Source organism: Homo sapiens, chromosome 4 (genome assembly GCF_000001405.40).
Source record: "Homo sapiens chromosome 4, GRCh38.p14 Primary Assembly".
NCBI classification, from domain to species: Eukaryota; Metazoa; Chordata; class Mammalia; order Primates; family Hominidae; genus Homo; species Homo sapiens.
Window position 1 is genome coordinate 128,452,810 of NC_000004.12, and position 25,176 is coordinate 128,477,985.

A 25,176-nucleotide genomic window follows, 5' to 3' on the forward strand; every position below is an offset into this window, starting at 1 on the left:
TCTTGACTAACAGAAAGGCAGGAGTTCTCACAGACTAGGGTTAGCTGAGAGACAGTGATTTGGCCATCTCCAACCTATGCAATTACTCAGGGGCCAAAGGAAAGACAAGCCCAGTTTAATAAAACCCAACAGCAGGGATGTAGAGAATCAATAAATGTTGGTTGATGTCCACAGGGCAGCTTGGAAGCAACTGGAAGACCTTTTACAGCTGGTTATTTTTGAACAACAATCTAAGATGTATAAAAGCAGAAATAAAAATAACTGAAGAAAGGAGCCCTGACTTGCTGCCTTGAAATCATGAGTGTGCTGTGGTTGATTTGTAGCTTTTTGCAGTATGGTCAAGATGACCCCTGATTCAATACCTCCTTTTCCTACCACCTGCCTCCCCTGGGTGGGGGAGGGGAAAACCGTGCTAAAATATTCTATAGAACCAGTACTCTAAGAAGCAGCCTCTATAGCAACCAAGCAGGTAGGAGGTAGCTGCTGTAGTTTCTATCTTTTACCTTTTTCCTCCAAATATCCAGATTTCTAAGGGGTGAGAAAACACAAACACCAAAAACATCATTGGAATTTTGGATTAAAGACAAGACAGCTATCTGTCTTGTCTCATTTTTGATACACCAGCTGATAATTGGGCTATATCTGAGTCTAAAAATAACACATAGTACATTAAAATAATATTCCTTGGCTACAATTCCAAAGTGGTATTCTGGGATTTCTGTGCATTAATCCTGTAACAATAACAGGATTTGGGCTTTTAACTCCCCTGGTGTAGCTTTGAAAATCTAGCCTAAAGCAGCTAATGTTGCCGTTTAAATCATCCTCTCACTATCCTTAGGGAAATGTGGAGATTAAAAAAATGACAGCCCAACTGCTCAAATGACCTATACCTGGGAGAATAAGAGAAACAACCTATTTCCTCTCAGGAACTGGGCCGATCAATATAAATATTTCAAAAGGACCATCATGCAATAAAGGCCTTGGAATTTGTATCCTACATCAGAGCACCCTAGATATTTCCAACATAGACCTATCAGGTTTTCCACAAGGGAGGGAGACATTGTAACAGTTGAATAACTGGAACTGAACTGGGTTGCACGTGTGTGAGCCTCTGTGTGTGTGTGTGTGTGTGTTTGTGTGTTTAGGAAAGGAAGGGAAAGGAGGCCATTATTATTGTGTATGTTTCTGGTAAACATTCTTTTTTTCCCCTACTGAAACTTGGGCGTATCCCAGAAATTAGGTGCTGTTAATCGTGTCAGCTAAAAAAAAAAAAAAAAAAAAAAAAAAAGCATGTTCTAAAATATGCACACAGTTCTAAATTGAAGCTCTAAATAGCTTTAAATTGAAGTGGCAGGAGTTTTTCAATGATACCATTAATTGCATTTCATTAATTGGGAAAAAGAGCTTTTGTGTAGCTGTGGTTATGATGGGCTGGATTTAATCAGTGTAGGTACCACTAACAGGCTGGCACTGCTTTCGGCCTGCAATGCCTTTGAAATTCTAAAATGGAAAAGGAGGCCAACACACTGAGCAATTATTTCAGAACAGATTGCCCGTTAACATTTCATAATATCACCGAAATACATCCTTTCTGGGACAGAGACTTGCTTTGGCTATGAACATCCAAGAGGTGGCAGCACCCCATGCTCCGTTGGCTTTCTGCATCCCTCCAGATGAGAGCTCACCGCAGAGGTCTCATCATTGCGTCACCTGAAAGCCAGTTAGGAGGGCGGAGGTGGGGGGGAGGTGATGGAGGGAAGAGGTAGCGTTTTGTATTTCAGTTCTTCTGGAAGAGTTCAGGAAACAGCTGCATGGATTGTTTTAAATGGACTTGAAAAGGTTTTTCTTTTCTTTTCCTCCCTGAAATCTACTGCCCTGTGCAGTATCTCTCTATGAAGACCACATGAGTGCACTTACGTGTTCTCTGATTCACTCCCTGAGGGAGGAAGGAAGAGTTTCAATTGCCTGGGATCCCCTGAGACCTCATTTTCAATTCTCTGCACTTGTCTTTTATAAACACAGGAAGGTGGGATGAAGACGGCATTATTGACAATTATTTTTTGAGCATGTATGTGGGCAGGGCACTGACCACATCATCAAGAATGTGACACAGTCGGCTGCTAGGATAATTCTCTTCTTCCCTAACTGTTCCTCCAGGTCCCCCATACACATAGAAATCTCATGCTAAAAATATTTTACACAACAAATAGCTGTTGAGATCGCATCAAACCCTGAACAATAAGGAGCAATATAACCTTACGTGCTAGGTGTCATGTGCCTGATATGAGAAGCATCTGGTGACATGGGTGAAGGAGTGTCAGGGCTGGTCTAGCCTGGCCACTGTCCAACTATCTGTGGAAACTGGCCCTCGTCATGCTAGGAAGTGTGAGGGCAAGAGCTGGAATACACTGAGGCAGCCTTGCTGTTGGGGGTTATTGGCAGCTGTTGGGGGTTAGAGACAGGACTCTCATGGGTAAGTAGTGTGCAAAATGCCACAGGAGGCTGGAGCTGGGCTCAGCAACAGTCTAGGGTCCAGCACAGCTCAGCTGTGGGCCTATCCCCATCCTATCCAGCACAGGGACTTGGCCTCTGTGTACACCACTACGGCTGCTTGGCCTCACCTTCAACTCTGTGTACCTTTTCCTTAACTCATTTCTTCAGCTTAGTCTTGACCTTGACACCCTCATACCCTCTGTCCCATAGCTTTCCTACATGGCACCTGCTCTCTGGGTACATCTTTTTAGCTTCTGGTCCCACTAACAATTCAGAGACTATTTTCCCTGTATTTCCTGGTTAATTTTGAGGGAAGTGTGGAGGGGGAAGGGAAGGAGGAAGGGAAGAGAGACTCATTGGCTGAGTTAATTGCATTCTTCCTGTCTGGACAGAGCTTTGGAGGCCAGGCCATCTCCCAGGGGATGAGTTAGGCTCTGCTTGGCCACCTTTGAGTCACTTTTAGACCTGTGCAGGGCTGTCCCCCAGCCTGGGCTATGGGCATGGTTGTTCCCTTCAGGAGGACCGTGGATGTGGTAGACACCAAATTTGACATATTGTCCCTTTCCCCATACAAAGGAAGGCTCAACGATGCTGGATATCCTGCTGTCAGGGTACTACCCTGGTGAGTTGCTCAGACTCTAGGAAGAGAGAAAGGAACCTCTTTTCTTCTTTACAAGAAAGCAGTCATGAAGCTTGGAGAATACACATAAGAGTGATAATTTACACTCAATCTTCAATGATTCCAGAAACTTGGGGAAAGAGGTACAGATCCTTCATTTGAACCATGATGCCATGTATTTTGCATAGCGCAGCTTGGTTTGGACTAGGCTGAGGGAGGGGAGTGGCTGAGTTAGATACCAGTCTCCTTGTTATAGTCAAGTCTTCCTTAATAAGGTCTCAAGCTTGCATTTTAATCCAAAGACAGATTCTCGAGTGCTACCTCTTGGTGCTACTTCTAGGCGCCATGACATATTCAGCAATGAGCTCCTCACCTGTTGCCCAGTGCATTGGCAGCATCCCTGGTTGATGCAGCCAAGCCATCTGGAGCAGGGCAAGGGGGGCACACGGGGTATGAAAGCCAGATAGCTGCCAGATGCTGCAGTTTCTTGGCTGTGGCCTTGGCCTTCCTCTAGTCCTTTCACTATTATGCTGAGGGCATGTGGCAAAACAAGGCAGGCCCCACGGGCAGCTTATTTGCTTTTGGCTACTTCCAGTTGAGCCACCAAGAACTTGAGGAGCTTTTTCTTCTTCAGCTATTTTTCTTGAGAGCCTGAACATCCCCTCCATCTCTTCCACTTGTAGCGCTTGTAGTCAGCCTCAGCCATAAGCCACTGACAAGAGTGTATTAACTGCAGATGTGAGGATGAAGCAAGGGCAAACTATGGTTAGTTTTCAGAGGTGACTGAGCCCCTTCAACATATAGATAGGGATTTCCATATATGGTGAATTTTGTCACTAAGTGCTTGGCTTTGTGGCATCCTATTTACCAGTATTTGAAGCTTTTATTTAACAGTTTTATTATGTGGTTCTCTCTGGTGTTGAGTTTGAGCTCACTAATTAGATCATTAAGTTCCTTGAAAGAAAGACAGGGCTTCTATACTCCTAAGCATTTCCTGCAATGTGTAACACAGCACTGTCATTGTACAAGGAATTGGCACTCAATGGGTGTTTGTTAAATTGATTTGACCCAATCTCAATTTCATGTTCAGCTCAGGAGATTTCTTATTAAGTTCTAAGGAGTTTAGATCCTTTCTGGTCATCTATACCTGAAGGTATAAATTCATTTTGACCAATTTTCCAACTTTAATTTTCTCTTGTGCACTTCAGGAAGAACAGCACCCCAGACATGACTTTTTCAGGGACTTGGAATTCCAGATTTCCCCTGGGATTCAAGGCATCTGGGAGTTTGACTTCCTATTTTTTACTTTTCATCTCTGTCCTCTTGAAGTTAAGCATGGTGATGTGACTTACTTTGGCTAATGAAATATCAGATGTAATGTGTGTTAGCCTCCTCTGCCAAATTAATCTCCTTTCCTAGAAGGATAGGTGAAGTTATGCAGTGGTAACAACAGCTTCCAAAACTTAGTCGAGATTCTGTTTGACAGAGTGACTCAGGGACCCAATTGACAGACAGTCTGTCATCTCAGTGTGTGCTGCCGGGATCACTGTGGCAGGGGAAGCTGGCATGGATAATCGTTCACCAACTCTTAGCTAACTCTTCCACCCTGAAGTGACACACATTACAACAGATAGTTCATTCAAGAGGATGGAGAAGTGCAGTCCTTTCCTGGCTCTGGAAAGAACCAAGAGCCAAAAATACTTGTGACCTCTGTAGAACTGACCACACCTCCTCAGAGAGCCCAGAAGTTGCTGTGTTTCAGTTCATTCTTTAATAAGGCATGGGACGACCCTTGGGAATAATATAAATACTTTATCCTTTGAGGTTCACAGGAGTTAAGAAACAAACCCGTATTAAAGATGATTTATGTATTAATAATTAAAGATTAGATTTTTAAATATTATGTAAATATCAGGTTATTTTCCACCAAATCAGTGATCAGCAGTACTCAGTTGTAGCACTCTCTAAATGCCATAGAAACAGATGGCTGATGGAAGTGATTGGACGTGTTTAGAGTTGCCAGCCCTTTTCATGCTTCTGATGCTTCTTACACCTCACAGTCACTCAAAGGCCCAGCAGCTCAGAGCCCTTCTCCATCATCAGAGTCACTTCAGACTCCTGGGCTCTGGGGATCTGATCTTTATTCCCTGCCCTGTGATTGACTCTGTCAGTCACAAAGCAAGACTCCAGGTTCTTCAAAAGCAAACAGGGAGTCATCCTGCCTCACTTAGTGGTCCTGTGTTCCACACTCACTCGATAACTTCCCTCCTTCCAAAGATACAATTCTAGGCCAGGCTCAGTGGTTCATGACTGTAATCCCAGCCAGGGCAGGGGAGGCACTTGAGGTCAGGAATTTGAGACCAGCCTGGCCCACGTGGTGATACCCGTCTCTACTAAAAATATAAAAATTAGCCAGGCATGGTGGTGCACGTCTGTGGTCCCAGCTACTTGGGAGGCTGAGGTGCGAGAATCGCTTGAACCCAGGAGGTGGTGTTTGCAGTGAGCCAAGATCGTGCCACTGGGCGACAGAGTAAGACTCTCTCAAAAACAAACAAACACAAAACCAAAAACAAAGATACAATTCTAACCATAAGAACCAGGAGTTTATTCACAAGTGTAATGAGTTTAGTAGTCAATGCTCTTTTAGCCCAAGTCAATGGACTATTATTCCAACATGCCAAGTAAGAGCCAACCATGATATGATTGAAAGAGCTTTTGCATTAGAATCTAAAGACTGGTTCAACTCCCGGCTCTGCCATGTTCTAGCTGTGTTACCTAGGAAAAATCACTTGGCCTCTCTAAACCTTCACTGGTAAAATTAGGATAATTACACTTACCTTCTAGGATGGAGTTTCCTACTGATAAAATGTAAATTATAATGCCTACCTCTTGGGATCATGGGAATTTAAATTATTTTGACAAAGATAATTTATGGGAAAAATATATATGTATAAGTATGTATATCCCAAGCTGGGAACTTCTTCCCTCCTTTTTTGCTTGCTAATTAAGAGTCATAAATAAAATGCTGATGAGCTGCAGTCTGCCGTCTGTGCTGTAGCTGGAGGGCTGTTTTGACTTAGCCTGACAAATGGCTAACCAGCCGCTCCCACTATGCCCAACTCAAGTGTTCAGCACTGAGAAATCCAGCTACTGCCAACAGCATCTTATAAACTTGTCACTATTTACTTACTTGGTGACAGTGTTTTTGTTCAGTGATCATCCCTGAGATTTTACTCGTCAGGGTGTGTCTGTTTCTCTCAAAATGCCAAAATGCCAAAATGCCATTTAAATATAATCCTTTCTCAAACCACATGAAAATAGTGAAGGTCTCTAAATGAGACTTTGATGCCCTTATAGTTCATCCCCATTGCAGTGCAGTTGGGGTGGGATGTTGTCTTTACAAAGCAGTAGCTGCATGTGCACAGGGCTTTATTAAATGGACACAAACTTCAGAGCTACTTCAATAAGCTACTAGTCAGGATTTCCAGGTAACCTGTTGAGTGGTGTGCTAGAGACAGCTCATACAAGCTTGGAAGAACTGATTGTTACATTTTCAGGAATTTTGCAAGGTGGTTGAAATCATGTTGGTAGACTGAAATTGGCCATGGTGAGAGTGTTTACACCATGGAAATTAGCAAACACTACAAAATCAGGCAGTTTCTCCCAGAGGGCTGGTTGCTAAACATTTACCAGCTCACCAATCTTTGAGCACCTGGGTAAAACACAGATGTGACTGAGAATGGGAGAAGGGGCATCCCAAATCGGAAGTATAAATAAAACCATGATGCAGGACTCACTTCTCTCGAGTCCCTGCTGTGTGCTAAGTTCTATGCTAGCCTAGATTGAGACTGACATATATCAGGAGGTACCTAGCAAATTAGCGATGTGGGGCCTACCAAAAATGTATTCATATGAAGGACAGAGAGCCTGCTAGGAGCTTGACTGCAAGCTGGTCATGGGAGAGAGGGAATAATGCTAGATGTAACATGGTACTTGTCACTCAGGTTTCAAGCCAGGCCCTAGCTGAGATTTGTAGAGGGTGGGTTGGGGAAAGCTTTAAGTAAAAACAGAAAAGGCTGCTTTGGGAACACTCTGTAGGACAAGATGGCATTGTTTGGATTTGACATCTTGTTTGTTCCAGGACCTCAGCTGCAGTAGTTTTGGGACAGCAGAGGCTTGGCTGACCCACACAGTGCAGTGGGGTGGGCTCCCTTGCAAGCTCTTTTGCAAGAGCACTTTGTGGAGGACCACAGTGTGAACAAAGAGGGGGAAAGGGACAGTAGAATTTATTTTGATGACCCCATATGTACTGGTAAGGCAAAGGGGAAGCTGGTTGCATATACATTTTCTCAACTTATCCTCACAACACCCTTATGAAAAAGGCATTATCATATCCTCTTTGTAGGTGAAGAAACTGAGGCTTGGAGGGTCCGAATAACTTGCCCAATATCACAGAAAGTAAGTAGCAGAGCTGGGATTCACACATGAGGCTGACTGCAAACCCTTCTTGGGGCCTCTGTGACCACCCTGAATTCATGTCTGCATATTCATTTATTTTCTTCTAATTTGGGGGGAAGAAGTCTCTCTCTTCTTTCCAAGGTCAACCTTTCCACTCCTGCCCATAAATCCTGTACCTTCCTAATTCCTGCTCCAGAGTCTTTGTAAAGCACCGCATTGCTCTGTTGTGCATCTTTAGCCTTTCTTCTGTCAGTTTATTCATTAATCTTTGCCATCTTTTAACAGAAATGAGTGACTGTGTGGGGACTTTCTTAGCCTTCTCTCTTAGCCTCTGTGTTGTACTGAACACAGAACACATTCTCCTTTATTCTTGAAACTCTCTACTTCCCATCTTCTGTGATTGGTTTTTCTCTTCCCTCTCAGGTTTTTCTTCTGATCACTTCTGGCTCTTCTCCCTTTCCCAACCCATGAAATAGAAGCATTACTCCAAGAGTCTAGTGTTGGCTCTCTTCTTCTTGTGGTCCCCATGACCTCAGCACTCTATGCAGACAAATATATGAATATATCTACAGCTCTAGTTAGGAAATGGGCAGAAGTAACTCAACCATGTCCCCAGGACCAAGAGCAGTCTCTGGCATGTAGTGGGTACTCAGTAAATAGTAGGGATTTCAGATGAAGAGAACATTGTGAACAGAGGCTGTGCATGTATGTATTGATTTATTTGGAGGATACCCCTTTCAGGCTGCTGAACTCCTCAAACTCAGGAACTGTGCTTTTTCCTCATTTTTAATTTCCTGATCCAGCATAATACATAGTAGCTGTTCAATACATGTTTGCTGAATGAATGAGTGAGTCCAAGGTCGATGATAAATTGATGCAAAACTGTGGCAGTCCTTATATAGGAATTTAGGCTTTACTGTATGTGCAGTAGGCTTGCAGCCATGCAAGGCTTTTTCTCATTTGAGTAACTCAATTGAAGCTGAGCTCCAGGATGACTCATGTGGCTGCCGTCAGCATTGAAACCTTGTGCCGTCTTCCTCCCTTGCCCTTGCTGTTCCATCTCTAATCAGTAGCCCAATCTTGTTGATTTTACTTCCACGTGTGGCTTTATGGCTTGTATTTGTGTTTTTGTTTCTATTCTCATGGCCACCTCCCAAGGTCAGCTCTAATTACCTCTTGTCTGGATGTCAGCATAGGTCACTCCCCACTCTGGTTGCTGTTGATCCCTTTTCTGTAAGCCACGGCCTTGGCTATGCTACTGATGACTGGCTCTGTTTGAAAAAAAGAAAACAGAACAAAGCAGAATTGGTTCTGGGAAAGCAAGGATAAAGAGGGCTAAAGTAACACTCCATTATCTGCCTTTAATCCCACAGGCCCTTAAAGCTGTTGCCTGCTTTGGGTTTTACCCTTGAGTTGCTTGAGTGGGCTTATCCCCTCATTGCTCCTTATAACAAAGAGTAGGATCCATTCTCACAATAAAGTTAAATTGTAGGGAAAGAAAGCGGACCAATGGGAAGCTTGTGCTTGACTATGTTGTTGAAAAGAGGCAAAGGAAATGGAAGAACAATCCTTTAGAGAAGGGAGAACAAGAGAAGGGAAAATGTAAAAGAGGAGATAGGAGAAGGCCATTAAGATAATAATTCTAGAGGGAAGGAAGAAAAAAAGGAGAGAAGACCAGAGCTGAGCTCCTGCCATTTTTCATAGCTAATTATGATTAAATGGGCCGTTTCTGAAAATGCTCAATAAATGTGCACTATTACCTTAAGGTTTTGCTCTATTGCTATGCAATGCATGGGCATTGCATGAACTTTATCAGTCCAGAATTTTACCTAATAAAACAGTGAGCTAATGGACTTTAGGGGGCCTCTCTGGGGACTCTTGAGCTTAAGCGATTTAGGTCAGTGTTATGCAAAGTGTGATTTGCCTCCTGCAAGGAGGTAAGTACAGAAATCCACAGTCTGTATTTAGAAACTTTATAGCATTGCACATTGCTACAATGATGTGCAGGAGGTGGGTGGTACCAGTCAAGAGAGCCAGAGCCAGAGAGATCGTGGGCATTTCTTCCCATTTTTGCAGCTCAGTAACTTCACTGTGGTAGCTTGAAATCAGCCATAATGGGAGGTATTTTTATCATGCAAATTGACAAATGCTACAAATCAGGACTCCTCCCACCCTTAAGAACCGGGTACTAAACATTTGCGGCACGCCACTGCTTGGCTGAGAAGTCCAAGCATCTGATGAGGAAATACTATGGAACGGCATGTTGTTCCACTTTCTTGGTGAGTTACTTGTGACTGGAGCTGCCTACCCAGACGTGCATGGTAGGATCACCTATCTGTCACTAAAGGAATAGAGGAAATTGGTCCTTCACCATAGGGAGTTTGAAATGCACTGCCCTAGATCACCTTCAGCTTGTTCTGAGATCCAACAGAGTATTTCAACAGAGGTCTTCATGATAACCAAATGTAATAGCCCACTGGTTTAGAAACCTCCTACTCCAGATTTTGAGTCCTATAAGACAGTTAGGATCAAGGGTAGCTGTGGCAGACCCAGCTGGGGCAGAGAAGCCAAATGTGAAATAGCAGAAGGTATGTGTATTAGTCTGTTAGGACTGCCATGAAAAATACCAAAGAATTGGTGGCATAAACAACAGAAATTTTTTTTTTTTCACAGCTCTGGAGGCTGTAAGTCCAAGATCAAGGTGTTGGCAGACTTAGTTTCTCTTGAGGCCACTCTTCTTGCCCTGCAGATGGCCGCCTTCTTGCTGTGTCCTCACATGGTCTTTTCTCTATTTGCATGCAAATAGAGAAACCCTGGTGTCTCTTCCTCTTCTTACAAGGACACCAATCCTATAGGATTAGGGCCCCACCTTTATTACCTCATTTAACTACAATGATCCCTTAAAGGCTCTATCTTGAAATACAGTCACCTTGGGGGTTGGGACTTTATACAAAATTTGGGAGGACACAACCCAGTCTGTGTCAGTGTGTCACTGTGCTTTACCTGTCGGGGCTCACTCTGCATTCCAATCAAGCATGGTATAGTGGGTCACAAGACTGGAGCCAAGGAGGCTTGACCTGACTCCCAGGTCTACCTTCCCATTGGCTGTGTGGCTTTGGGCACCCTAATCTTTCTTATCCTGCATTATTCATCTGTAAGATGAATATAATACAAGAGCTTCCCTCACAGTGTAGTTATGAAGATCAAGTGAAGTCATGGAGGTAAGCTTTTAGCACAGTGTCTGGCCCATGATAGGTGCTTAATAAATGTATACTTTTAATTTATGGTTTTGCTCTATTGCTGTGCATTTCATATACAGTATATTTTTAGGTCTCAGAGGAGGCCTAGGTGTGGAGAGCTGATGCAAAGAGTCTTGTATCTCATTTTTAGATCCCCAGTCTATCGTCCTCATCTCCAATATCATGGGTAAGAAAAGGCCAAGGTTTTTCTGACACCCCCTGTTTTACACATTCACTCTGAACTTGCTAAGGCCGACTTTGAGTGGAGAGCCATGATTTCCTGAAGATCAATAATGCCAAAGAATCCAAAGGCATCACTTGTTAACCAATTTCCCAGTGGCCTGGCCTGCAGTGGGGTGAGAGGCATCAGAAAACACACAGGAACTGAGAATCAATGCACTGGGAAGAAAACCAGCTCCCTCAAAGGGGCTAATTTTCCCAGTGTGTAAATAAATTATGTAAACAAATATCTGATCATATTTATAACCTCTACTTCTGAAAGATCCACCTAGGTGAATTTATTTGACTTTTACCCACTAGAAGAAGTTTGTTTAAACAATATTATCAAGAAAAATCATGTAGTCAAATTGTTAGACTTTAAAGTCAAAATGGGCAATTTTATACATGAGGAAACTGATATGTTTTAAAAAAAATCTCCTGGTGTATTAATTTGAAGACGACAAGCTTTTAATTAAAAACACAAAAATAAGATTCTTAGATGAAAAATAAAGTATATTATACCTGGTTCAATATTCTTTTGGATAATTCAAATTTTGGTGATCAGAAAAAAGATGCATAGGCTTTTGCTGCATAAGATCTTGCCAAGATGCTTTTACTGCCTGGCATTGATTTTCCCTCTCACCCACTCCAGGCATTCTCACTTCTGTTGGATGCCCCTTCCACTTTCTAGCAATCTCCAACCTCATCAAGGGCTATCCCTCCTCCAGTTCCCCCTGGAGTCCCATCTCTGTTCTTGTCTTCCCTGACTACTCCTGCTTGAAAAGAAATCTTCCTCACCTGAATCACTCTAGCACTTTTACTCTGTATTGTTAATTTGCCAATTAATCACATCCACCTTTGCAATGCCTTTCATGATATGACCTTGAATTGCATGGTTTTAGGGCTTGTCTATCTTTTTAAGCTGCAGGTACCCTGAGAAAGGGACCTCATCTTACTCTTTGACACTCCTCCCCCGTTTAGTGATAATTAGCTGTGTGCCTTTTATAGAGTAGGAAGTCAATGAATATCACAGAGTTATCTGCTTTTTCCTGAAATGGTTAAGATCATTTTATGTTAATAAGTGTGTGTCTAGTCAAACTTACAGCAGTAAGCACTGAGGCTTTTTCTTTTTTAATTGTAGATATCAAGCTGGAATTCTCTAGTAAATGCTCCTGGAATGTAATCTGGGGGTGCCATTGTTCCAGTGAGTTACAGTAATTTTTAAATCTAACTCTGGTGTAAAAGAGACCTGGGTTGAGTTCTAGTTTTCTTGGTTACCAGCTGTCTGACCTTGGGTAAATTACTACCTCTCTGTGATGGTTAATTTTAGGTGTCAGCTAGGTTAAGGGATTCCCAGACAGTTGGTAAAGCATTATTTCTGGGAGAGATTGACATTTGAGTCAGTGGACTGAGAAAGGAAGATCTGCTCTCACCCAGTGTGGGTGGGCTCCGTCAAATCAGCTGAGGGCCTGGAGAGAACCAAAAGGCAGGGAAAAGGCGAATTTGCTCTCTCTTCTGGAGCTTCTCCTGCCTTGTACATGAGGACTTCAGGGTCTCTGGCCTTCAGACTCTGGGACGTTTGAACCAGCAGCCCCCAGGTTCTCAGGCCTTTGGCCTCTGACCAAGAGTTACATCATTGTCTTCACTGATTCTGAGGCCTTGGAACTTGGACTGAGCTATACCACTGACTCCTCTGTTCTCCAGCTTGCAGACTACCTGTCATGGGGCTTCTCAGCCTCCATAATCACATGAGCCAGTTTCCGTAATAACCCTGCTCTTGTCTGTCTGTCTATCTATCTATCTATCTATCTATCTATCTATCTATCCATCCATCCATTCTATTGGTTCTGTTTCTCTGGAGAACTTTGACTAATATACTCTCTAAAGCCCAGTATCTTCCTCTGTTAAGTGTGAGTAATAATAACACCTTATCTCATAAGGTGGTGGCAGAGGAGTAAAATAGAAATAGTAGCACTCAATGAATATTAGATTTTTATCATTAATATTATTGTGACATACAGAGGTCAAAAAGTAGAAACCTTACCCATGGCTATCAGTCTCCATTCGTCTGAACCAAGGGTAAAGAGTAAGACCGGTGGCCGGGTGCGATTGCTCATGCCTGTAATCCCAGAACTTTGGGAGGCCGAGGCGGGCAGATCACGAGGTCAAGAGATTGAGATCATCCTGGCCAGCATGGTGAAACCCCGTCTCTACTAAAAATACAAAAAAAAAAAAAAAAAATAGCTGGGCATGGTAGTGTGTGCCTGTAGTTCCAGCTACTCTAGAGGGTGAGGCAGTAGAATTGCTTGAACCTGGGAGGTGGAGGTTGCAGTGAGCTGGGATCGTGCCACTGCACTCTAGCCTGGCGACAGGGCGAGACTCTGTCTCAAAAAAAAAAAAGTAAGACTGGCACACCAGTGGCGAATTGGCCATGCAGGAGCTGGGTCTTTACTTCCCTGTGCCCAGTGCTGCTGGATAAGGAATATAATATTTCCTGTGCAGAATTCAGAAGGAGCACTTTCCTATCTAGGAAGAGGTGACTTGTGAACCACCTTTGGCCTCATGTTGTCATCACCTCCCCAATTCCCACTTCCCTTTGTAAAGCATAAAACATTTTAATACCTACAAGACACTATATTTTGTGTTGTTACTCTGGAGTTGGGCAGGTTGCACTGCCAGTACAATCATATTCATTAAAGATAAGTCAGCAGGACATTTGGCCTGGAATGAATGATGAAACCAAGTCAAACCATATTCAATGTTTTCTCAGAGATGTTCAAGAAAAAGAACAACTTCAGTGGAAGAAGAAGAAGATAGGAGCCCAGGTCCTGTGTTTCACCAAGACAGCCGTGCAAAGCAGATGCTGCCAAAAAGGTGCAAAGTGGTTTGTCAGCTCTTCTGCATGTTCTAACAAATTAGACATGCATCCCAAAAGGTATACTACAATATTAAAGCTTATTTATACACACTGTAAAGTTTCCCCTGAGTGTCCTGGCAGGCACTTGCATGGCTGGGCAGTATCCGTGGACTGATTCCTTTGTGAATTACATGGAGCTGACAGGGCTGAAACCCACAGCTGACTCGGAGGAGGATGGAAGCTTGTGCTGGGCAAGGGGCTGAAGCCCCTCTGTGTAAGTCATATTAATCTCCTCTGAGCAGAGTGCTACAAAATTACTAAAGCTGCTTCTTGAAGACACTTCTAATGCAGTACCTAATGAAAATGTCAGGTGCGACAAGTTATTAGTTGCTGCACTGCTGTTCTGAAGTCCCAGGTATTTCTCTACCTGTTATCCATGAATGTGAGTTTTGTGGGGAAGGCAGTCACAGGCTGAGGAAAGCATCAGCAGTCATGTGTGCTGTCAGGCCTGTAAAGTGAGTGAGGACAATGAAGCTGGTTGAAGTGCCCCAGGAAATGGCCAGACTTCCATAGTGGAGGTGAGGTGAAGAATTGAGTCCGGGCAAAGGTGTGTGGGGAGAAGAAGCTGCCTGGTGTACGATGCTGAGTAATGATACAACCCAAATCATCTGACTCTGCAGATTTGAAAGTTGCCGTTATTATTAAGAATTCAGATGGGAAAAGAAATATGGTTTGGGTTATTTCCATAGTCATTCCAGAAATCCAGGCTCAGTTTGGCATTTATTGACATAACTGTTTATATTGGATCTGTGTAGAAGTTTGTATCTTTCTGACTTGCATGATACTTCAGCCTTTCCTTGGAGTCTCTGTGGCTTCTCTTCCTCCTTTGCTCACCTCCAGTCATTGTCAAATGGCTTTGTGCAAGTTACTCTTTCTCGGCCTCCATTTTTTTGGATCCTGCCTTTGCCGCCCTCCTTGCCTGTACTCTGTCCAGTCCAGGCCCTCTGGACCTCTTGCCTGGACCTCCAAGCTCTCCCTCCTCCCATCTCTTCCCTTTCAACCTTCCTACCCAGAGCACAGCAGTAGTAACAGCTAACACCATTTAATAGGTATCCTTTCTATGCCAGGCCCTGGGGTTGCTATGTCACATATATTATTTGTAATGTTTGCAATAACCCTGGAAATGGTATTATTACCTCCATTGTACAGTTTGGAAGGCACCAAAAAAGGCACATGGGCCCACATTCATGCAAGCTAATGAGGGGCAAAACTGGAATGAGAACCCAGGGCCACTGGGTCCCTCAGCTTATGCTGTTCCCTAACCATACTGCTTCCTCCACTCAGAATCCTTTAGTGGCTCCCATTGCCTAATAGATCAAGTCTGGGCTCCTTATCTTGGCTTCTGGGTCCTCTAAAATGTAGTCTGCTAGGTTTCCAGGCTTTCCTCTCCACCCCTCACACATCCTACTCTTTAGCCAAAAAAACAGACAAAAACCCTAAAAACAAAAAAATCCATTTTTTTATTTATACCCGTGCTTTCTTTCCTAAGTGCTTTTATATGTGCTATTTCTCCTGCCAGGAGCAGAGACTGTCATGCTTTCCTCTGTATAAGTAAGTGTTGCCCAAGAAAACATTGAACAGAGGTGGGCTAGAGATCCATTTATTTTCTGGTTCACAAAGGGCATATTGGATCTTTATTAAATAGTCTAAAATGTCCTTTCAATAATGTTTTTCTTTAATATCTTTTTAAAAGACATTTAAAGTGAATCAGAAAGCAATTAAATGATTAATTGCTGTGGCTGAATTCTGCTGCCCTCAGCCTCTGTGGATGCTATCTCACCGATTAACCTCCATTTCTAAGCTCTGTCTGATTGAGGGAAGCAATGACAGAAAACGCTTGGCCTGTCACATGACTGATCCTTGCTGTCATGAGCCATCGTTTTCTAACTGCAAGCTTTCATTTTCAAAGCCCTGGCATGATTTCAGGAGCTGTAAACCCTCATGTGAGTAAGTGAGCAGTAAGAACTGGCAGTTTTTCAATCTTAAGTCTCTCCAGCTTTAAACCCACATTTAGCTGTGATTCTTTTTTTCTCCTTAAGTTGGACATTTTTTTAGTGAATACTTTTTTGATAAATAAAGTGGGGTGAAGGTGAACTTGACTGAGACAGATATGGGTTGGTCCGTTTAGGGCTGACCCTGGAAAAAAAAAGTTATATCAGTCTTGACATTAATTCCGTAGTCAGAGTAGGTGAGAGAGGAGTAGATTAGTATATAGGGTTCCCAGCCTTCCCAGTACAACCATGGACTCAGAGTTGGGGACACTAAAAATGTACATGAAGTTTATGATTTCACTGGTAGAGATGGCCCACAATGCCAGTTTGGACAGGCATTACTCTAAACGTGGTGGGGAAGTCAGGAGACATCTACTCCAAGGCATAACCTCTAGGACAGTTTGTGGGGTATCAGGGAAGGATATATCATTGGAAAGATTTCTAGTTGCCATACACAAATAATTGGGCTTCAGTTTAATGCATAATTAACTGTTCTCAGTGTGTTATTAGTTGGACAATTGGATTATTACATTATTTACATTAGTGTTTATAGGTAATCTGAAAACAAAAATGTGAATATAATATGAACTACCTCAAAGATTTGTCTCTGCTTAATAGTTTTATTTCAAATTTGTATATCAAATGTTTCATTACCCTTTTTTCATTTTATTTTTTAGCTTTCAAAACAAATTAGCAAGAGGAGGAAAGAGGAGAGGGAGAAACTGTGCACACCACCAGAATGTTATAGTAGGCGATATCATGAAAGCAATGTTGGAACTTTATACTCAGGTTTTGATTGTGCATCTATCTCTTTGTTGTCTTATCCTTTATCTTCATTTTTACCAAGTAATTATTGACCATCAAATGCCATTATGGTACCAACTTAAGAAATGGATGTAAAGAATTCTACAGGGAAAAAAAGCACATTGTCAGTGTATGAAATTTATTTAGAAGACAGTTACAGACACATATAAAAATGATAGCAGCTTATGTTTGCGAAGCACTCACTATATGCCAAGCACTTTCTGTTAGCTAATAATAATATTTGCTCATTTAATATTAGCTCACATAATAATATTAATATTATTAGCTCATTTAATCCTCTCAACAACTGTCTAGGGTAGGTACTATTATCCCTATTTTATGGACAAGGAAATTAAGTCAACAAGAGATGAAATAATTTGTTTACAGTCACATAGCTAGGAAGTGGTAGAGTCATAAGTTGAACCCAGGCAGTCTGAATCCAGAATAATAATAATAAAAAAAGGTATAACCAGGGTGGAAACTTATTTTGCTCTTTTCAGGTTTCCTAGACTTTCCATCACCACCAGTGAATTCTGAGTGACAATAGTGTGGAATTTGGAAGAATGGAAGAGAAACTGAAGTGGAGAGATGGTGAAAGAGAAGAAAAAATGAAGAAAGATGCTTGCAAAAATACTGCTGTGGGTCCTGAGATGAGGATTCTGGGAGGGTAGGTGTGGCAATATCTCCCATTCTGTGCTTACCTGGGCCTCGACTGGTACCAGCAGACAGGGATGGGCAGTCAGTTAAGGAGTGTGGCTAGCGACTGTTGTGTCATGCATTGCACTGGTTTTCTGCTCCTCAGGCTGAAATGGATGCCCCTGACAGCTCCCTTTGAGTTCCTGTTCATCTGAAGTACACCAGCTTTCTAGATATGCTGTCACTTTCCTTCTGCAGAGCCACAGTGGTGTCCTGTCTTCTCAGACCTCTTCTCACCTCAAATCACTTAGGACTCGGCCACCAGACAGATTTGGGATTTCAGAACTTTTCAGATGTTAGAAAGGTAAATGGTATATATTGCATATGTAGTATTTCCAGTAGAGTCTGGGTCAGCACCTCATAAGCAAATGTATTAATATTTTGACCACAACATATATGCATCGTCATCCTCAGGTCAGTAGTGACTATGTAGAACCTCATGTCAAAAAGGTCAGATTTTTTGCCACCTATGGAGTTTTTATGTCAAATATGTGAAAAACTTTTGGTTGCAGGGCTTTTGGGATTTTGGAACTGAGGATAAGGTATTGTGGACCATATCATTACCAGTTCCTTCCTCTTTCATCAAGGGCATGAGCATGAAGATGCTGACAAAGCTGTTCCTACACTTCCTGTGCTGGCTGGGAAGGGATCTGATTCGGGCTGAGCCTTAAGAATCACAGTTCCAAGCTTTCTTCTCATTCCAGATTTTAGTCGGGAAAGTAGGCATTCTGGAAGTAGAGTCCGTATCTATACTTTATATGTTCCCCTTAGGTTTGATGAGCAAAAAGTAATAAAGGAAACACAAACTCAGGAAAGAAAAGATTTTTCTAGGAAAGATCTATTTACACTACTTAGGCCTCTACCCTTCTTCCCTTGGGAGTTTCTTAGCTTAGCTTGGAAGATCACAGATTAAAGTACAATATAGCAAGTATTATTAAAAACAACCTGTAAAACTGCATTATCCCAAAGATTTAGCAGCTAATTTTCTGTTGCCTTTAGTTCTCACATCATTTTTTTTTTCAGGGTATAACCTTCTTTAAATTTTATGCCCTGCTCTCAAATTCCTTCTGGGTTTAATGACTAATCTCTTTATTTGTGTTTACCCTGGTGAAGCCTGTAGAAAGAAAATCATAAATTAATGGCATATATTTGCAGCTATAAACGGGACAGATTCAGAAATATACAAACATGCCTAGTAACCAATTTCCTGAAATTGCAATGCTCAACTCCCAATTAACCTTAGAATTTACAAGTCTAATCAAATGGCCCAGTCCATTTCCATTGAAAAGCTGTGCACTGTGTATAATCTTTCACTTGACCTAAATCTGTAGTAGACTTTGGGAAATAAACTCCTTTGTGGAGCCAGTTGTTCTATTGGATGAAGTCAATGTCCCTTTTTAGGAACTTGAGCTACCACTTTATGTACTCTAAGACACAGTTTGCAAAGGACCAGTCTGCCATACCCCATGCAGGAGGAGGACTGTGTTGGCTCCCACCACAGGGTGTGTTCTGTGGTAATGGAAGGCTGTGCTGAGTCACTTACACTGTGTCCCTGGGTCTTCCTTAAGGACAGTGTATGGTTTTAGAAGATAATAGTAGCAAACATTTATCTACCACCTCTCTAGATCAGCTAGGCATTCTTTTTTTTTTTTTTTTGACATAGAGTCTCACTCTGCCGGCCAGGCTCGAGTGCAGTGGCATGATGAACTTAGCTCACTGCAGCCTCTGTCTCCCGGGCTCAAGCAATTCTCCTGCCTTAGCTTCCCGAGTAGCTGGGATTACAGGCGTGTGCCACCATGCCTGGCTAATTTTTGTATTTTAATAGAGACGGGGTTTCACCATGTTGGCCAGGCTAATCTCAAACATCTGACCTCAGGTAATCTGCCCACCTCGGCCTCCCAAAGTCCTGGGATTACAGGTGTGAGCCACTGTGCCTGGCCGGGTATTCTTCTAAGCCCTTTCTGCTGTGAGCTCATTTAATCTTCTTAACAAACAAAGGGGCAGGAACCATTATAATCACTGTTCAAGAGATGAGAAAACTCAGGCACAGAGAGGTTAAGTAAATTGTCCAATCAGCCTCAGCTAGTGACTGGGGGAGTGGGGCTTTGAACCTGACAGTCTTTCCTAGGATCTATCCACATAACCATGAAGTCACATTGGTTTCTGGGATATTGCATAGCCTATGGCAAAACCTGAATGGTGTGGAGCTTGCCACACGGGCTTCATTAGAACGTACCCTATCCCGGTTGCAGTGAGCGGAGATCACGCCACTGCACTCCAGCCTGGGCAACAAGAGAGAAACTCCGTCTCAAAAAAAAAAAAAAAAAAAAAAAAGTACCCTCCCCCAGGGCTTTTCAAACCTTGGGGCTCTGCAGAATCCCTGAGGGTCATGGGAACAAGAGGCAAAGGAGGCTCTGGACTTCTACGCCCACATCAGCCAGAACCAGTCAGCGTTTTAAATGTTACTTGCTAGCACTAAGAGTTTATCTGAGTAGGGGGCTCTGCAGCTCACAAGAAGCTTAAGAACTATAGCTCTAAACAATCAAGCCAGTTAACTCATACAGGGGTCATACCAGTTGCAAAGGGAAATGAGATGTAGAAACCCTGACCCCAGTGCTGTGTGTTGCTGTCATACTCTTTCTTACTATAGTCAGTGTCATAGTTGTGAAGTCAGTGTGCATTTTGGTGATGACATTTCAGGGCAAACCAGAGGCTACTGCCTAGGTGCCACACGGTGGTGACCAGATCAGGTGCTTTCACAGTAGAAGATGAAAAAGCCCAGCCAATGTCTAGGGAGGGGTAGGAGAGATGAGGCAAAAATGCTCAACATGGTAGGAAAGGCATGAGATTAAAAAAAGTGGTGAACAGAGCCAAGGGCAGGTGCTGAAATGAGGGTCCATACTCTGTGAATTAGATTGTTGAAAGTAGGGCTGGGAGCAGCAGAAGAGAAACAGATTGAAGATGGCAAGATGAGAAAGACAGGATGGAAACTTCCCAAGGAAATTGTAGACCACAGAGGACCCCAGGAAAGAGACTCTTGGGTGAAGAGAAATAAAAAGCTAGGCGGTAATTTTTTTGTTAAAGTTTATGAGATTGGTATATCAGAGTAAAACAAAGGATTACCACAAAGCATTTTACCAAGTACCTCACCAAGTTTTGAATCACCTTGATTAGGTGGTTTCAAAACTGGCTAAGTGAACTTTATCCAAAGCTGCTGCCTACTGGGAGACAGACCATCTTGGAGGGCAGGTATGGCTCTGAACTCTTCAGCCTTATTTTGTAAAGCAAATGCTCTGGGGCTGGCACAGTGGCTCATGCCTGTAATCCCAGTGCTTTGGAAAGCCAAGGTGGGAGGATTGCTTGAGCCCACGAATTTAAGGTCAGCCTCGACAACATGGGGAGACCCCCATCTCTACAAAAAATTTAAAAAATTAGTCAGACCTAGGGGCGTACACGTGTAGTCCCAGCTACTCGGGAGGCTGAAGTGGGAGGATCTCTGAGTCCAGGAGTTTGAGGCTGCAATGAGCTGTGATTGTGCCATTGCACTCCAGCCTGGGCGATAGAGTGAGACCCTGTTTCTCTCAAAATAAATAAATAAATGCAAATGCTCTGACAAGGCTCTGACACTATATGTTACTAAAGAATGATGTTCTCTGATTTGTCCTGTGTGTGTCTATTTCCTCATTGTTTATAGTTGTTAATATGGGATTTCTGGATGAGCCTAGAGGGCCCATGAATCCTCTGAGATTATTATACTAGGAATATCTACTTACTTTTCTGTCTCTCTTGCTAGAATAGGAGCAACTTGAGGAAGTGAAACAAGTCAGAACTGACCAAAGAAAAGTAGTGTACATATTGATCCATGGTTGAGCTATAATTGATTCGTGCAATACTTATTGAGTATCTCAAACATGCTTGCGGTTGAGAACTAGGCACACAGGAAGAGGGATATGAAGAAATTAACAAACAGCAAAATAAGAATTATTGTTGTAATGTGCTTTGATAGAGGAAGCACACATGAAAGGCACCTGCTGTAGCCTGAAGAATGAGAGTTTTCTTTCTGAAGAGGAAACATCAGCTGCTTTTGGAAAGACACATGAGAGTTGGGCATCCTGTAGGAGGCAAGGAGAGGGGGTTCCAGGACAGAGATGAGAAATAGCATGGTGTATGTGCTAAAATGCAAGTTGTTTGGGATGGGGATGGTGAAGGGCACCTGTGAGGGCCGAGGTAGACAGGTCCAGGTGGAACAGGCTTCTATACCATATTAAGAATTTAGATTTTTATCCCCAAATTAGATGTTAATGGCCCCAAAGCCACTGGGGCCATTAAAAGATTGAAAGTAGAGAGTGGCATGATGGAATTTCTATTTTGGAACAATTATGCTGGCAACAGTGTGAAAGATGCAATAGGAAGGGGCAAGATCATGGACCAGGGAACATTGTAGAAGGCCACTACAGTAACTGGGGTGAAAGACTGTGTTGCCGAGTGGGTGCTGTCACTCTGTGTAGCTTCTATTACCACAGGGACGGTCAGCGGGGAGCGGGATCGTCTTAGACCATGAGGGAGGATGAGGTGCTGAGAGCTGGAAGAATGAAGAGAAAAGTGGCCTGATGAGGAGGTGGAGGTGTGAGAAGTGACAAAGAGTCTGTGAGGAGAATGAGGAAGGGCAACCCGAGAAATCAAGAAAAATCAGGAGACAAATCTCCTAGAAGCCAAGAAGATGGTGGTAAACTAATAAGTGATGAGAGCAGTGAAGGAAAAAAAGAACTAGGAGGGCTGGGCGCGGTGGCTCACACCTGTAATCCCAGCACTTTGGGAGGCCGAGGAGGGCGGATCACGAGGTCAGAAGATCGAGACAATCCTGGCTAACATGGTGAAACCCCGTCTCTACTAAAAATACAAAAAATTAGCCGGGCGTGGTGGCATGTGTCTGTAGTCCTAGCTACTCAGGAGGCTGAGGCAGGAGAATGGCGTGAACCTGGGAGGCGGAGCATGCAGTGAGCTGAGATCGCGCCACTGCACTCCAGCCTGGGTGAGAGCAAGACTCCATTTCAAAAAAAAAGAACCTGGAGTGTGTTTATATTGCTGGCAAAAAGAGTTTGCTTTCAATTGCCTTGTTAGCACACCTGTGATCTGACTAAGTTACATCAGTGGGAGGCACAGGATGAAAGGATGCCGGCCTCTGAGACCAACTTCAGTTCTTTGAGTGTTTGAGAAACACTTCAAGTCTTAGCCAATGGCTTTGGTCAACAATGGGTGCCTCATGTTGAGGATGACCCCCTGAGGGCTTTCACTGCAGAGACAAGCCGACTTGTTCAAATCCATTCTCAAATGGTAAAACACAGGCAAAGGTACAACATGCAGAACTACTGCACCATGATCAAAACATGTACTCTGTCACATCTAATGACTTCAGGCCCTCCTTGAACTTTTGAGTTAGCAAAAAAGGGCAAATAAATATGAAACTTGCCTTTCAGTTCTCCTTATGTGTTTTTTAATTGTTTCCTCCTTGGTTCCTCTGCAACAGCCCTGTGGTCTCTGTCTGCATGTTCAGTGCCATGTGGGGTGACCCACACTTGTCTCAGCATCTTCAGGGGAGTTGAGAACAGCTGGCCCAGCCTTCTGTACTTGTCAGGCATATGGTGGGGGAGACATAGCCCTGGCACTCCAACCTCTTCCCTGATTTAAAGTGTCAAAGCATTTTGGAATTCAGGTCTCGGTGTTAAAAACTCTCCATGAACTCTGATAGGCTTCAGTGGTAGTCACTACCTTAGGATGCTGACGAGGAACAACTGCTATCCTGCCCATGGTGACGACCTTCGAAAAGCCCATGAACAGAACTATTTTGAATCATGAGTAGGAAGATTAGGGAAAGGCCGGGCGCAGTGGCTCATGACTATAATCCCAGCACTTTGGGAGGCCGAGGCAGGCAGATCACGAGGTCAGGAGATTGAGACCATCCTGGCTAACACGGTGAAACCCCATCCCTACTAAAAATACAAAAAATTAGCCGGGTGTGGTGGTGGGTGCCTGTAGTCCCAGTTACTCAGGAGGCTGAGGCAGGAGAATGGCATGAACCCGGGAGGTGGAGCTTGCAGTGAGCAGAGATTGTGCCACTGCACTCTAGCCTGGGTGACAGAGTGAGACTCTGTCTCAAAAAAAAAAAAAAAAAAAGAAGATTAAGGAAAAACTAATCTCTGCTATTTGCTTATTCTCTGTCAGAGACACAAGAATTTGTATGCATCTTTTCACCCTCTCCCCCATCTTCTTGCAGCTATTTAAAGTATTTTACAAAGGAGACATTCCAAAAAGGAGCTGTGACTAAAAGGTATCCATAAAATTCAGATGTCTTTTGGTACAGCCATTACAGAAAACAGTATGGAGGTTTCTAAAGAAATTAAAAATAGAACTACCATATGATCCAGCAATTCCTCTTCTGGGTATATACCCAAAGGAGATAAAATCACCACCTCGTAAAGATATCTGTACTCTCATGTTCATTGCAGCATTATTCACAGTAGCCAAAATGTGGAAACAACCCAAACACCCAACGATGGATGAAAGGATAAAGGAATTACAGTGTATATACATATATATACACACACACACCACAGACGTACCACAATATAAATTTATATATACCATAAAAGAAGCATATATATATACACCATAATATAAACTTTAGTATGTGTGTAAATAAGTAATATTGCATTGTGTGTATGTATATGTCTTTATGTATACAATGGAATATTATTTATTGTTGAAATATTATTCAGTCTTTAAAAAGAGGTCCTGCCATTTGCCACAATACGGTTAAAGCTTGAGGGCATTATGCTAAGTAAAATAAGCCAGACACAGAAGGAAAAATATTGCATGTTCTCTTTTATGCGTGGAATAAAAAAAAGAGAAGCTCAAGCTCAAATACACAGAGATAGAGAATGAAACAGCAATTACCATGGGTGAGGGGTGGGGAGAATGGAGAGATACAGGTCAAAGGATACAAAATAGCAGATACATAGGATGAACAAGTCTAGAGATCATGTGGTACATGAGAACTATAGTTAATAAAATTGTATTAGGGATTTTTGTTAAATAAGTAGATTTTAGCTGCTCTTGTCACACATACGCAAAGTAACTAAGTGAGATGATAGATATGTATTGGTTTCACTATAGTAACAATTTTACTATCTATATGTGTCCCATAATATATCTGAAGCCTCAAATATACATAATGAAATTTATTAGAAAAGAAAAAACACATTCAGAGTTTTTTTGTTTGTTTTTTTTTGCTGTAAAGTTCAGGGGGCTCTCCTGGCATTGACAAAGACCTAAATAACAAATGTTTTCGCCTCACTTCCTGTCATTGCTGTAAAGGAAACAGTCCCAGCATCAGAGCAACCTTTCTTAGTGTTCTCTGAAGGGTCATTTGTCAGTTGAGAGTAAGGCACATGCTTGAAGAAGTTTCAAGTAATTCTCGTTTGCACTACTTATCTTTAGTCAATCTGGGGATTAACCGAAGATTAGAGATAGGCCTACCCTGGCTGAGCTCCCAGCTGGTGGATGCCAGCCATGTACATGAACCACCTTAGAGAGGCGTCCTTAGGCCCAGGAGAGTCACCCCAGCTGATGGTCAATGACACAGGAGCAGAGATGACAGGTCCCTGCTGAGCCTTGCTTAAATTGCAGATTTCTGAATAAAATAAATGGTTGTTATTTTTAGATAAAAATTTTAATTGACAA

The 25,176-nt window shown here is 42.8% G+C and overlaps 1 long non-coding RNA gene across 1 annotated transcript in view, besides 2 other annotated features; it reads left to right on the plus strand.

Annotated features, from left to right (window-relative positions):
• The window catches only part of LINC02615 (long intergenic non-protein coding RNA 2615), a 91,383-nt gene that overhangs the window by 24,794 nt on the left and 41,413 nt on the right, over positions 1-25,176 (plus strand). The window contains exons 2-4 of the long non-coding RNA NR_125882.1: positions 13,799-13,963; positions 17,241-17,407; positions 17,543-17,740. This is a non-coding gene — a long non-coding RNA (long intergenic non-protein coding RNA 2615). The remainder of the gene's footprint in view (positions 1-13,798; positions 13,964-17,240; positions 17,408-17,542; positions 17,741-25,176) is intronic.
• Positions 16,731-17,930: an enhancer, noted in NCBI's record as "BRD4-independent group 4 enhancer chr4:129390695-129391894 (GRCh37/hg19 assembly coordinates)". NCBI's record gives its function as "activates an origin of replication core promoter dependent on BRD2, P300/CBP, MED14 and CDK7 cofactors, and independent of BRD4, by STARR-seq in HCT116 cells {active_cell/tissue: HCT116}" and the evidence as "EXISTENCE:reporter gene assay evidence [ECO:0000049][PMID:35650434]".
• Positions 24,558-24,727: an enhancer, noted in NCBI's record as "experimental_74020 CRE fragment used in MPRA reporter constructs". NCBI's record gives its function as "activates a minimal promoter by MPRAs in K562 erythroleukemia cells, with activity observed for the non-introgressed 4:129398607 variant allele {active_cell/tissue: K562}" and the evidence as "EXISTENCE:reporter gene assay evidence [ECO:0000049][PMID:34662402]".